Source organism: Homo sapiens, chromosome 17, assembly GCF_000001405.40.
Source record: "Homo sapiens chromosome 17, GRCh38.p14 Primary Assembly".
Classification (NCBI taxonomy): Eukaryota; Metazoa; Chordata; class Mammalia; order Primates; family Hominidae; genus Homo; species Homo sapiens.
In genome coordinates, this window is record NC_000017.11 from 33,896,123 (window position 1) to 33,909,748 (window position 13,626).

The following is a 13,626-nucleotide window of genomic DNA, read 5'->3' on the forward strand; positions in this document are numbered from 1 at the left end:
AAAGATATGTTAATAATTTATTTATATTTCTTTTCTTTTTGCCTCAGAGCCTGGTAGAGGACAAATGAATGCATGAGCAAGAGCTCTGCTTAGCCTGACTTCAGGCCAAGGATGTGTCTTTTCTTCTTGGTTAGAATGTTCCTTCCCCAAGGATGGCATCTTGCAAGACAGTGCAGAAATGCAATAACTTCTAGAATATTCCTTTCTCATCGCCGGCTTTATGTTTCCCACTGGTTCAACCTGCTCCATCAGATGTTTTTTTGGGGGGAATCTTCCCTTCCTGGCAGCCCAAGTAAGTTCTGATTTTGCATATGCAGAGAGTCTAGCGACTCCGCAACAGCCAGGGTATGAATATTCATTGTCAGTCCTCAGCTGTGCAATGGACAAAGAAATGCTGATGGAGGAGGATGGGCAGGGTCTGTTCGCTTGGCCTGCAGGGGCTCAGAGCTCCTCAAGGATGCATTAGCCCAATGGCCTGGCTCCTATCGGGGGCTGTCTGTAGCTTTGTAAGTTCTGGCAGTCACCCCTTGACTTCAACAGTGACTCCAACCTCACCATGACAGAGTCTTGGCCCTTTGGGCATCTCACTAATCTGAATCCTCTCAGAACCTGTGTGTAGCATTTATGATAGGCGAAACAGTTTACCCCATAGATTACAATTCACACTGTCTCCTGTGTCCCAGGGTCCCATGTCCCCAGCTTAGAAGGCAAAATTTACATTGTATTTTGTGTGTATGGTTCCCCCCAGGGTTGCACAACATGGTGGCCCTGGCCCCATCCATTGCTCATCACTCTGCTTTCTACAAAAGCCAGACATCCTGGCCGAAAAATGAACCAGACAGGATAAAGGAGAAGCTAGTTGGTCCTATTGATTTACAGTCTTGAGATGGGTGGGGGCTTCAAGATTATAAAGTTTTACTAAAGCTCCCCAAAAGATGTCCATGGGTAGGCACATTGGGAAATAGGGGTTATACCATGATAAAGGGATATTATCACCAAATGGGCTATATGTGTGTGTGGTCAGTAGGAAGACTTTGAAAAGGAGGGATTTTGGAGAAATATGAGCTTCTATTCCAAGTATTGTGTGTCAAAATGAGACTCACTCAGAGACCACTTCCTTCTTCCAACTTCAATGATATTCTGCACAGCATCTATCAAATGTCCTCTTGTTGCTCCTAAAGAAATAATGGTTTTGCCCCAAAGCCTCTCTCTCCTTCCCTCTGCATTTCACATTAAACTTTGTATTATGGCATCCCACCCCATTGCACTTTGCACTGTTCAAGGACAAAGACCATCTCTTAATCATCTTTGTGCACCCATAACATAGCACAGCATCTGCTATATGGTGGTATACAACAAATGGTTTAGAATGAAATGAAATATATCTTTATCCAGATTTCTGTAATTGGTTCATATTGACTTTAGCTAGAAATCAAGTTTGAAGCAACTTACAATATGCAAAAGCCATGGCGGCACAGTGGTAAAACTGCACTTGCAGCAAATGTACCCATGTGCTTCATTTCAAAATAGTTAATATCCCTGGAAGGCTACATACTATTCCCAACAATATTACCTTTGCTCGGATGTATCTGAAATTCTAGTTTCCTAGCTGTTGTCTTCATAGCTGCAGGGATCAGGTGGAGCCTATGGGAGAGGGGAGCCCACCAGTGGCTGGAAACTCTGGGAAAGGGGCCTGTTGTGTGAATGATTATTGCAACTGTGAAAACAAGTCTAAGAGTGAGGATAAAAAGTTGGAAGTGGATTTACACCAGAGATGCCATGGCAGAAATCGAAGATGGATGATGAATATAGGTTATTGGGACAGTTATGGTAATGGGAACTAGTTATCCTCAAACTGAAGGAGTCAGTGCCAGCAATATGTCCTGGGTGAATGAGATGAAAATATATTTCCCTTGCAACTATAAAAGTTGCAATTGGACATGCAACAGGATTCCAAGCAAGACAATATTTAATCTCATTTTATCCCCAGGGGAGGTGCTCTGCCCATATTTCTTTCTTTCTTATTTTTACTTTTTATTTGGAATAATTTTAGACTTACAGAGAAACTACAAAAACTGCCCAGAGTTCATGTATAATCTTTTTTTTTTTTTTTTTTTTTTTTTTTTTTTTTGAGACTGAGTCTCGCTCTGTCACCCAGGCTGGAGTGCAGTGGCGGGATCTTGGCTCACTGCAACCTCCGCCTCCCAGATTCAAGCTATTCTCCTGCCTCAACTTCCTGGGTAGCTGGGACTACAGGCGGATGCCACTGCACCCAGCTAATTTTTCTGTATTTTTAGTAGAGACGGGGTTTCACCATGTTAGCCAGGATGGTCTTGATCTCCTGATCTTGTGATCTGCCTGCCTCAGCCTCCCAAAGTGCTGGGATTACAGGCATGAGCCACCACCCCTGACCTCATGTATACTCTTACCTAGCTTCCCGTAGTACAATAATCAAAACCGGGAAATTAACAGTGGTATAACATTATTAACTAAACTATTGATCTCATTAGAATTTTATTTATTTTTCCACTAGTGTCCTTTTCCTGCTTCAAAATCCAATCCAAGATGCCACGTGGCATTTTGTCAGCATATCTTTTTATTGTCTTCCAATATGTGACCACTTTGCATTCTTTCGTTGTCTTTCATGATCTTGGCAATTTTGATGAGTATTGGTCAATTATTTTATAGACTGTCTCTTGATTTTGCCCCAATTCTAAATGAAGAAAATACATAGGCTTGGCAGGTTACAGGGTGCACAAGAATATTAACTTTCCATTTTTCCATACTTACTTCCAAAGTAAGTCACATGTTACTCTGATTAACTCAACTTACCCCTTCCTCCAATGGCTGTTGCCCGCTTGCCAAATTCATATTAATTCCTCCGAGGTAAAGATCCTCAAGTTTGAAGAAACAAAAATCTGAGTTAAAGCTCTAAAGAGAGCTTGCAGTGAGCTGAGATCGCGCCACTGCACTCCAGCCTGGGCGACAGAGCGAGACTCCATCTCAGGAAAAAAAAAAAAAAGCTCTAAAGGAACTCCCCAAGAGAAGTTGTAAAAAAGTTTTCAGCAGAGGCAGCTCCATTTAAGGAAGTATTTCACCTCTCCACACCCTAGCTTAGCCACATGACAGGGCGATGCTGCTGCCAGGGCCAGCTGTCAGCACCGAGATGGGGGTAGTGAAGCTGAACCGTGGGGTGGACCCCTGGAGTAAGCCTCAGGAGGATGTGAGTACCATGCTAACTTAGTTTCTTCCAATCTGTGGCCACTTCTCTCTATTTCTTGTCTTTCACGATCTTGACAATTTTGATGAGTATTGGTCAATTGGGGCAATACCGCCAGAGGGTGGCCAGGGTCTGAAACAGGCAAAGCAGAAGAGAGGCACTATACCTGAGCAACGGATGAATGAGGGTCAAAGCCTACAGGAGGAAGCCAGAGGAGGTAGACAGGACAAGGCTGGAGAGAGAGATTGGACGTGTGATTATGTGGACTACCTCTGATAAAGAGGTCTAAGTCCCTTCTCTATAAGAGGGCCTTGGAGACCCGGTATGAGATACACAAAGGGACCATTTTACTTAAATTTCAAATACTGAAACTTGTGTTCAAAATTTAATCATAGCAATATTCCATAACATGCTAGATAGATGTCTTCATGTTTTGTAGATAAGGTTGTATCTTCCTTCTTCCTTACCACCAGCACTTAACTTATTTCATATAAGAGTGCAGGTTATAAGATTTAAAGTTCCAGAATAGTCTACATGAATAGAGATCTGTGGAGCTGTGAAGTGCACAACCTCTGCAATTGTACAAAGCAGCCCTGATAGGTGATTGAATGAGTAAATGGTACAATATCTTATGGGAAGTGAGTATCCTGTGCTTACTTCTGGGACCCTAATTACTTCCTTGTAACATGAGCAATGCTATCCCTTTCTCCATGGTGATCACACATTTCAAAAAGTTAACCTAAGTGACACATGGTAACCGCACATAGTAGACACTAAGCAAAATTAGTTCCTTCCTTTTCCTCATCAATTCCGTCACATATTAATAAGTATCATATGCATTCTTTAAGCATGGGAGAGGCATGTAGCTGATGTGTGTTCACCAGCCAGTTTAATCTGGAGAGAAGGGCAGAGTTCACCATCTTCATCCCCTAGATGGAGTCTCCTGGGATATACCAGTGAGGGAAAGTTATTAGTGGTTTTGCCTTCTTGTTCTGGATATTATTCCATAGGGTCTCTGCTGAGACACCCAGGCCCCAGTGGAGCACGTAATTGTAAGACTCTAGATCTAGCAAACACCCCATCTGCATGCCCTCCCAACACTGAGAATCTGTACATACTCATTAAAATAAATGCCCTACTGTGGATTATTTATTACTGCCAGGGTGGGAGTAAAAATCTAATTACTAGTTGTATTATTTTGACTCATGAGAAGTAAAAAAAAATTTTTTAATCTCTATTAGATTATTCATCAGCCTAGTGATAAGTACTTAACCTCACAACTCAATGCTTAGTCTATTTTAATACAATTTTCTTACCAAAGTGCAATAAAGACTCACTAATAGACAGTTTTATACATACTCATTGAGGTGTAAACAGACCATAAGATGTTGAAGAAGTTGGAGGTGGGAGGGTATCTAGGGAAGAGGGTGGGGGCTGCCCATTCAACTGTCATATGAGCTGTGCTGTGAGCCACAGTGGACTTCCATGCAGGAGGATGCAAATTTCCACCTGCAAACAGGATGCATGATGAATATGCCTTTAACCAGCCTTGGCTAAAGACAGCAGGGTGTATTAAAAAGCAAGTTGGAGAGATGGGGAGACAGGTTCACAGCTTCCAGGCTCCTGGTCCTTGGCTATGGCTCTTTTGATTTAGGTGCTTCTTTTGTGCATTAGGCTCAAACAAACTCAGAACAAATCTAGCCACGTGTAATATCCTTTGCAGGTGTCCTACTATGACAAAGTCCTCCCTTTTGTGCTTCTGACCTGTCTGCCCTTTTCCTCCTCTCCTTGGCTCTCAGATTCCTTGCATTCTATCCTGTGCATGTCTTTGGGCGTCTCTTTCTCACCATTCACTCCTGCCTCTGGCTCATCCATGCCTCTTGCATATTATCACTCCCTCCTAACTTCTGGGATTGTAGTAGCAGCAGTGGCCACAGCAGGTTCTGGAAGAGAAATACTCCCTTCAGCAGCCTTATCATCAGTGGCCAGTTTTTCCAGTTTATCCTGGGTCCTACAGAGATAGAGCATCTAGACTGTCACCTGGTTCTTCCCCAAAGTCTAAGGTGAGCGGGGCTCAGGTTAGGTGAATTCTCCCATATGGGACTGATTTTCTTCTTCCATTCCTCCCTTATTCCTCCCTTATTCCTCTTTTTCATTCTGGAGCACCTACCATATGCCTGGAAGCCAGCTCAGTACTAGGGGGTAAAAAGATCGATAAGACACAGTTCCTGCAAAGCCACATTTCAGCTGGGAAAGCAGGTTTTAAAATGAAGAGTTAGCAAACCATATGATAAGCTTTATGAAATGAGGGGTCTGAACAAGTTCATCCCCAGAATCTCCTTAAGTTCCAGAATTCTAAAGGTGTAGAATTCTGATGGCATAGAAAATCTTGTGATCTTGGTAAATAGAGGTGTAGTGATATTGATCTGGTTTCCAGGACTTTCCAAAATTGTCTTGGAAGCTTTGTTCTGATCAGTGCCACTGCAATTCCAATCAGTAGTATAATGTTTGCCTTATGGTTCTATGTTTCATCAATCATTTAATGACAATGATATTGCGACTATGCTCGATCACTCCATTGACAGGTATGGTAGATTTTCTCACTTGGCAACCATTCAGATTTCCTTTTTATTACGTCTTCTAACACAGCAGACACTAGAAAAGCTAGAAATGACATGTCCCAGACTCTCTTGTACCTAGACATCTGGCTGTGAGCAAGGTTCTCTCTATCAATGCGCTTGTATGAGACCTAAATTAGAATCTGAGTTCTCAGGGGAAAAGGCAGGAGAGGTGAGATCCTGGGAGAGGTAAGGAGGATCTCCTGCAGCAGGAGATGTGACTCAGGATTGAGAATTGTTACTGAAAGCTTATCTTATTCCTTCAGCCCTACCAATTATTTTGTAAGCTACCTAAAACCTAGTAATAAATCCCTTTCCCTTGAACTACCCAGAGTTGTTTCTATTAAGTGCAACTAAGCCTTAACCAACAGAGCACCTAGAAGGAAAATAAATTCAGCATAACAGCACAAAATCCCAGTTTACACTAAAATAGAGTACATTTAAAAGTACACATCTTCCCATTTAGCTAATGCAAGAGGCTCTTAATTTTGAGGTCACCTCTGTTTTAAAGTAGATATCAAAATTCCCAAGAAGTATGTCCACTTCAGCACTGTGGTGGACAGCGATGACACATCTTTGTCCTTGTGGCTCTGCAGCCAGCCGGTATGGCTGGGCCCAGACATGAGCATTCCATGCCGGCCGGGCTGGGGCAGGTTCCAGGATTGCCCAGCCTCAGTCTAGGGAGTTAACGGGGACTCCAACAGTCAATGCAAGACAGTCAACATCTGGGTTTTCTATCTATGGGTATCAGATTTCCAACCACTGATCCAGAGTCCACTAGGAACCCATGATTTTTTAGGGTGGAACCCCTAATTCTCGAAGACCCAATTCTTCAAGAAGAGTAAGATTAGAAATTCAGCCAGAACTGTTAAGGTCCTGCCATTTCCCCAAAACCATCAATTTCTAGGAAATCAATGTCAAACCCATCTGAAGAAACAAACATCACAGCAAGCATTCTGTCACTTTCTGCATGGAATGTTTGTCCCTGCTTGCATTCCCCCTTAGTCCAGGAATCTTTTCTATTTCAAAAATAATAAATGTGAAGAGAGGAAATCCTCAACAAAGCAGTATCCATTCCATTGGCCTGTCTCCCGAGACCTTTGACTTTGCAAGAATATTTTAGTTTCAACCTTTCTCCTCAGCACCATAAACACTGCAGTGACAATTTATTCCTTTCCAGCAGCCATAAAAATCATCTCCCTTATTTCTCAAAACCATGGCAAATTAGCACCTTTGACCTTCTTTTTCTCAGGCCCTGTCTTTCTCTCTCATGGTGCAGACACATGAACAATTTATGATGTTCCATGGAGGGTTCTCCTTTCTTGAATGCTGATAGAAAATTCCAGCCAGCAATCTCCATACTAATCTGTCCCTCTGCTTATCTCAAGCCTGTAGAAATAAATCCAAAGTAACATTTTCCAAAATGTGTTTTATAGCTCACCAGGCCTATGAAATGTTATTAGGTGTCCCACAAATAAAGTATTTTGTAGTCAAGTAAGTTTGGAAAACACTGCATGCTTTCTTTAGAGTTCAGAATACATATTTGCATATTAAAGGCTCTGACAAATCCTAAAGAAATGTATTCAAATTTCAAATTTATTTAGCCCAGAATCTCCCAGTTTATTTAAACATGGAGGGTTTTTTGTTTGCTTCCTAGCTATTAAAATTCTGTGCAACAGTGTTCTGTGGGTGCAAGTTTGAGTAGATGATGACATTTGAAAATAGAAAGTTGAATTAAACAACCAGGGGTTTGGACATGAGATGAGATTCCAATTTCTATAACAACTGCTGCTGATGGGTGAGACTCATAGCCAAGGGGCTTAATACAGAGTCAGGCTGAGTAGCTTCCTCTTGCCCAAGGTTATTTCTGAAAAGGAGTATAGGACTAAATCAGCAGATGGGGCTTAAAGAATTATAGCTGGGCCAGGCACGGTGGCTCATGCCTGTAATCCGAGCACTTTGGGAGGCCAAGGCTTGTGGATCACCTGAGGTTGGGAGTTTGAGACCAGCCTGACCAACATGGAGAAACCCCGTCTCTACTAAAAATACAAAATTAGCTGGGTGTGGTGGTGCATGGCTGTAATTCCAGCTACTCGGGAGGCTGAGGCAGGAGAATTGCTTGAACCCTGGAGGCGGAGGTTGCAGTGAACCGAGATCGCGCCATTGTACTCCAGCCTGGGCAACAAGAGTGAAACTCCGTCTCAAAAAAAAAAAAAAAAAAAAAAAAGAATTATAGCTATGATGATGAGAAAAGATGGAGAGCCTTGCTACTCAAGTGTGATCCCAGGCAAGCAGCATCAGCATCTTTTGGGAGCTTATTAGGAATGCAGAGTCTGAGGCCTCATCCCAGACCCATGGAATCAGGAGCTACAATGTAACAAGATCCCTACATGGTTTGTGTACACATTAACATTTGAGTAGCACCGGTGTTAAGCTGTGGTTCTCCATACTGCCTATAACTTAGAATTACCTGGGGAACTTTAAAAATATAGGTATCTGAGATCTGTCCCCAGGGATTGCAATTCAAATGTTCTGAGGCAGAGCTATAGAGTTTGTACTTTTAAAAACTCCCTGTCATGCAACTAAGGTCGAGAACCACTGGTCTAACCCAGACGAATGCCATGGATAATGAGGATTTAGGAGTCTCAGGAGACATGATAAGAACCACCACTTTGAGCCTTTCCACAGATAAGTGCTGCCTTTGGAACCTGGTTCACTATGATAAGTTAGAACCACCTGAAGAGCATCCATGGCCTTTTAGAAGGACCCCTCATAGATGTTATCAGATGCAAAAGCTACACCACCCTTTTAGGCTCAGTTACTTCTGTAACTTCTTCCTTAAAGTTGATTTAGGAGTTGTACCATTCTATCTTCTCCGGGTCTCAGTATGTTGTCAGAACCACACTCTTCTTGCGAGCAGGCTTGTATGCCAACCAGAAGGCTAACAGCCTTAATTACAGAATGTCCTTTCCCTAGGAGTTGGTCAAAGTCATCTTGACATCCTCAGTTGGGTGGAGAATCTTGGGTTATGTAGAAAATCTCAGAGAGGGGAATCGCCTCAAATGTGCACAGGCTTGGTATTCCATCATTGGTCACAAATGTTTCTTATGGAATAAAAATACCTAAATGTATTAAGTAGTTCCTGCAGTAGACAATTTGCTTGAGCTACCTAGTTTAAGGCTTTTTTTTTTTTTTTTTTTTTTTTCCACTTAGCGTTCTTGCCTTAGGAAAGTAAACCAAGCCTCCTGGAAAGTAATTATTTTCCTGACTATTAAGTGGCAGAACTGGAATTAGAATTCATACCAGCATGGCTCTAAAGCTCCTGCTTTTCTGACTGCACTACTGACCAGAGCATTGAGACACACAGACCGGCTCTAGTTCAGACCCAGGACAGACATGACTGATCCCACATCTCACTGGAAATTATGATTTCAGACAACTGGAAAATTCTCATTCATCAGAGGATAGAGCTACCCATCAAGCCATGTAATGTCTTCCCTTGCATCATAGCTTGTCCTCTGCTGCTGGCTTCAGAGGCATGTGCTGACATAGATAAGGAGTGCTCAGTGCCTGTGCTCTAAAAGAGTGATGTGCGAGGACAGATAATATGCAAAGTAGGGATGCTAGGGAGAGTAAAATGCTAATATGGGGTTTGAACCTGTAGATAGAGAATTCAGTCAACCACCTATTATCTGCAGTTGTAAACAGGAGAGAGGTAGTTGTCACTGGTATGTCCTGAAGCCGTTCCTCACCCTGCTGGGGCAGGGAAATGTGATAGTCTGACATCAGACAAATGAGAGAATGACCAGGGACAGGTCTGTGAGGGTGGTCGCAGGCAGGCTGAAGTTCTTTTTTTGTTTGTTTTTTTGCATCAGGTTCTTGGTTCTTGCTCTGTTGCCCAGGCTGGAGTGCGGTGGCATAATCTCGCCTCACTGCAACCTCTGCTTCCTGGGCTCAAGTGATCCTCCTACCTCAGCCTTCTGAGTAGTTGGGACTATAGGCACAAGCCACTATGCCTGGCTGCCCAGCTAATATTTTAATTTTAATTAAATTTTTTTTTTTTTTTTTTGTAGAGACAAGTTCTCATTACATTGTCCAGGCTGGTTTTGAACTCCTGGGCCTCCAAAAGTGCTGGGATTACAAGCGTGAGCCATCGCACCTGGCCTTGATGTTCTTAAAAGAGGCTGTTGCTTGACAGGCATCTGCTCCCTTATTACGTGTCTGGTTGGCTTTTGTAACCAGGAGACCTATGGTCTTCTCCGGGTCTCAGTATGTTGTCAGAATGACACCCTTCTTGCAAGCAGGCTTGTATGCCAACCAGAAGGCTAACAGCCTTAATTACAGAATGTCCTTCCCCTAGGAGTAGGTCAAAGTCATCTTGACATCCTCAGCTGGGTGGAAAATCTTGGGTTATGTAGAAAATCTCCTAAAAAGTTCCCCCAGCAAACCTTGGGCCTATCTTCAATGCTGAGTAAGTATTCCACTCCTAACATTTTGGGCAGCTGAGAGAAGATGCATGATGGAAATGCACCAGTTCTGAGGCTCAACATGTGTCCTTCACTTATGAGAAACCAGGTGGTACATTAAGAGGTTCAAGGTGGAATCACAAGAGCCCTCCCTTCACTGCTTATTGTACAAACACCTGCGAGTATATTCATGCTGTTAACAAAACGATACATCACCAATCTCTCTTGAGACTACTGGTTTCATTCACCCTCTCCTATAAGGCTGTTGGAATGCAAGTATCTTATAGGACTCTCTACATTTCTCTAGGTCTTTGCATCATTTTGGTGAAAAAGGATCTGACATCAGTTCTGTGGCTTTGGCATCAAGACCTACTGGGATCTTAACGAGGAGGCTGAGCTGTTGGCACTGAGCAAAGTCATGGATAGACTGACTTCTCTGGCTACAAGTCTTGAATTCTAATTACTCTGGTCCATGGGACATGCCTAAGCTGGGACATCACTGGCTTTACTGATGCTCATGGCTGTTTGATTTCTTGGGCAGGGTCTCCTTTCAATCAGCTGAAAGATGCTCTTTTGGGTTTTAGGTTCTATCTAGGATGTAATCAGCTCTTAACAAGGGTTGGGTATAGAGAGCTCAGGTAAATCCTTGGGAGAGGGGGCTGGCTAAGTAGAAGCAGGGAGTCAGGATCTCAACCCAATAGGCCAGGCATCAGGGCAGTGGGAATGGAAGAGAAACCAAGAACCCTTGAAGCGGAGGTCCTGTTTTATGCCCTTGTCCCATAAAGACAGGTGAGGTGAGGACTACTGCTCAGTATGCACTGGGATCCTGGGGGTCAGGCGATAAGACAACTCCAGCATCCTTCCCCTGATGGGAGTGGGATGTCTTAAGCTCTGGTTTTCTTCAACACAGACATCCTGAAAGATTGGACCCTGCAGCTAAGAAGCATTGGAGAAGGCAAATGCTGGCAGTCTCACCTTGCAATTGCCATCAATGGTGCTCCATTTCCATGCACCTCCCATTTGACTATCTCTGCTTGCTTCTCAATGGTCTCTGAAAATGATCTCTCTTTGTCATCTAGTTTTGCTTCCCATGTGACCCATTACTCATTCTCCCTTTGGTCTCACTTGTCCCTCCTCTCTACCATGAGCCCACCAGGCTCATCTCAGCTCTGCTCTTAGTTGTAATTCCTATTGTTTGTTTTTCTGGAATTCTTTTCTTTCTTCCGGATGCCTCCCCAAGTTGTACATCTTGAAGGCAACGTGGAGATCTGTCTTTTCCTTAAATCCTCTGCCAACTCCTGCCGTTGACTGACCACTTCATTGTAACCCTGAATGCTTGTAGCGCTTTCACAATATGCTCTAAAATTGAGAGTTTAATTCTGTACTGTCTTTAATTGTAGGCTCTTATTTAATGTCATCCTTCTCATTCTGCTCAATTCAACAAGCATTTATGAATATTGATAATGGGCCACAGTGGGACAGCACATTAAGTTGGAGACAGTTCTTGCAAACATAAAAATAGCACCTACTCAGTGCAGGGCAGTTTTTTTCCCTCACACTGAATTTCAAGCTTCTTTCACAGTACATAACACTAGCATTCACTGAGCACTTGGTTCTCACAGACTGTACGGAGAAATTTCCCATTATCTTATTTCCTCCTTACAGTGTCCCAGTGTGCACAGCAGCTTTCCATCATTCTCTGCCCTGGAACCCCCTTTGAGAAATTCTGTGCCCGCTGTATTCTTAGAGACACGGACCCCATGGTCACGTTGAGTGGGCAGTAGGCCACATGGTATGGTCCATTAGTTGTGGCCCCCTACTCTGATGCTGACCAAAGCTGGAACAACCAGTTTCTTTTTCTTCAGTATTTGTAATTTGGACTAAAAAATTCCAATGTCTGTTGGATGACAATATTGAGCCAGGGGTCAAGGACACCATATTGGACTATCTATTTTCTGCTGTGTACATAGAGAAGCAGACAGGGGAGGGAGATGATGAATCAGCAAACATGGAGAAAAGCAGAGGGAAACGGAGAAGGAGAGACAGATGGTGAGAAAGATAAAAAGATGGGGAGATCAAGAAAGCATAACTAACTCCATTGATAACAGCGTCTCAGTTCCTGATTCCAGCCCTTGTGAGAGCTGGCAGTACTTCCTGCCCTTGAAACACATATCACTACATCTTTCCAACAGTTTCTGGCTTAATGAAGTCAGCTTACCTGAGTTACTATTACCACCCACCACATACACCTGGTTATGACACACTGTGAGAAACATTACCTTTCCATTTCACAGATTAAATAACTGATCCTTGGTGAGTTCCACTATCTTTTAGTCAAAGATTGGAACTAGAAATTGAAAGCAGACCTTTGGATTCTAATATACTGCCCTATGCTTAAAACCTAACCCAGAGCTAAACCTCTAGTAGGTCTTCAATTAATACTTATTAATCCCTGGTGAACTGGTCCAGGTCATTCTAGCCTTAATCCCCTATTCCTTCCTTTCTTCTCCCTACTGCTTACCTGATGTCCCCTGACTGTTTTCTTAGTCATTTCCTTGGCTCAGGATCAGCCTTCAGCCAAGAAAAGAGCACAGCCATCAGCTGTTGAATGGTGGCCCTGAAGATTATGTCACCATTTTGACACTGCCATTTGGGGCTGCCTGTGGTCTTGTATCATCAACTATCTTCCATGATAATTGGGAGGGGCAGTTGAAGGCAGAGGCATCTCCATACCTCAGAAAACCTTAATCAAGAGAACAGCAGTGGTGCCTGCGCTCTTGGCAGTTTATTACAATTCCTGTAACAAGAGGAGCTGTGGGGATGTAAGGCATTATCCTCTCCCGTTGTTTCTAACAAAATAGCCCAGAACAGCAGGCCTACAAGGACAAGGTGAGGCCATTCTCCATTCCAAACAACATATACTTTTTTGAAAATAAAAGAAGCAATTTAAGCATTTTGGCTTCCTGGGGTGAGTTGGCAGGCACACTTCTCATCTCAGGGATGCCTTCGGGTGAAGGTGTTTTAATAAGAGAGAAAGCGGGAAGAAGATAGCAGAACTCTCCAGAGGCAGAGTGGAACCACGGAGCATGGGCTATGGAGCCCATAGGCTGGGGGGAGGCAAGAGAGGGGAGACAGGAGAGGGCTTGAGGGGGATGCACGTGGTGGGAGATGCCTTGTTCTGCCTAGGTACATGTGCCCTGGAGTCCGAAGCTCCTGGGAGAGCCCCATTAACCACAACTCAGAGGTGAAGAATTTAATTCTATTTATTTTGCTTCTTCATTTATCCACAGCAAATAAGAGAATGTTGAAATGATCATTATAT

At 43.3% G+C, this 13,626-nt stretch overlaps 1 protein-coding gene across 1 annotated transcript in view, besides 1 other annotated feature; it reads right to left on the reverse strand.

Moving 5' to 3' along the window:
- The window catches only part of ASIC2 (acid sensing ion channel subunit 2), a 1,143,682-nt gene that overhangs the window by 883,036 nt on the left and 247,020 nt on the right, over nt 1–13,626 (reverse strand). The gene's annotated exons all lie outside the window — the stretch shown is intronic.
- Nucleotides 45–546: an enhancer, noted in NCBI's record as "OCT4 hESC enhancer chr17:32223186-32223687 (GRCh37/hg19 assembly coordinates)". NCBI's record gives its function as "activates a minimal SCP1, AML or CMV promoter by ChIP-STARR-seq in naive H9 embryonic stem cells {active_cell/tissue: H9 hESC(naive)}" and the evidence as "EXISTENCE:reporter gene assay evidence [ECO:0000049][PMID:30033119]".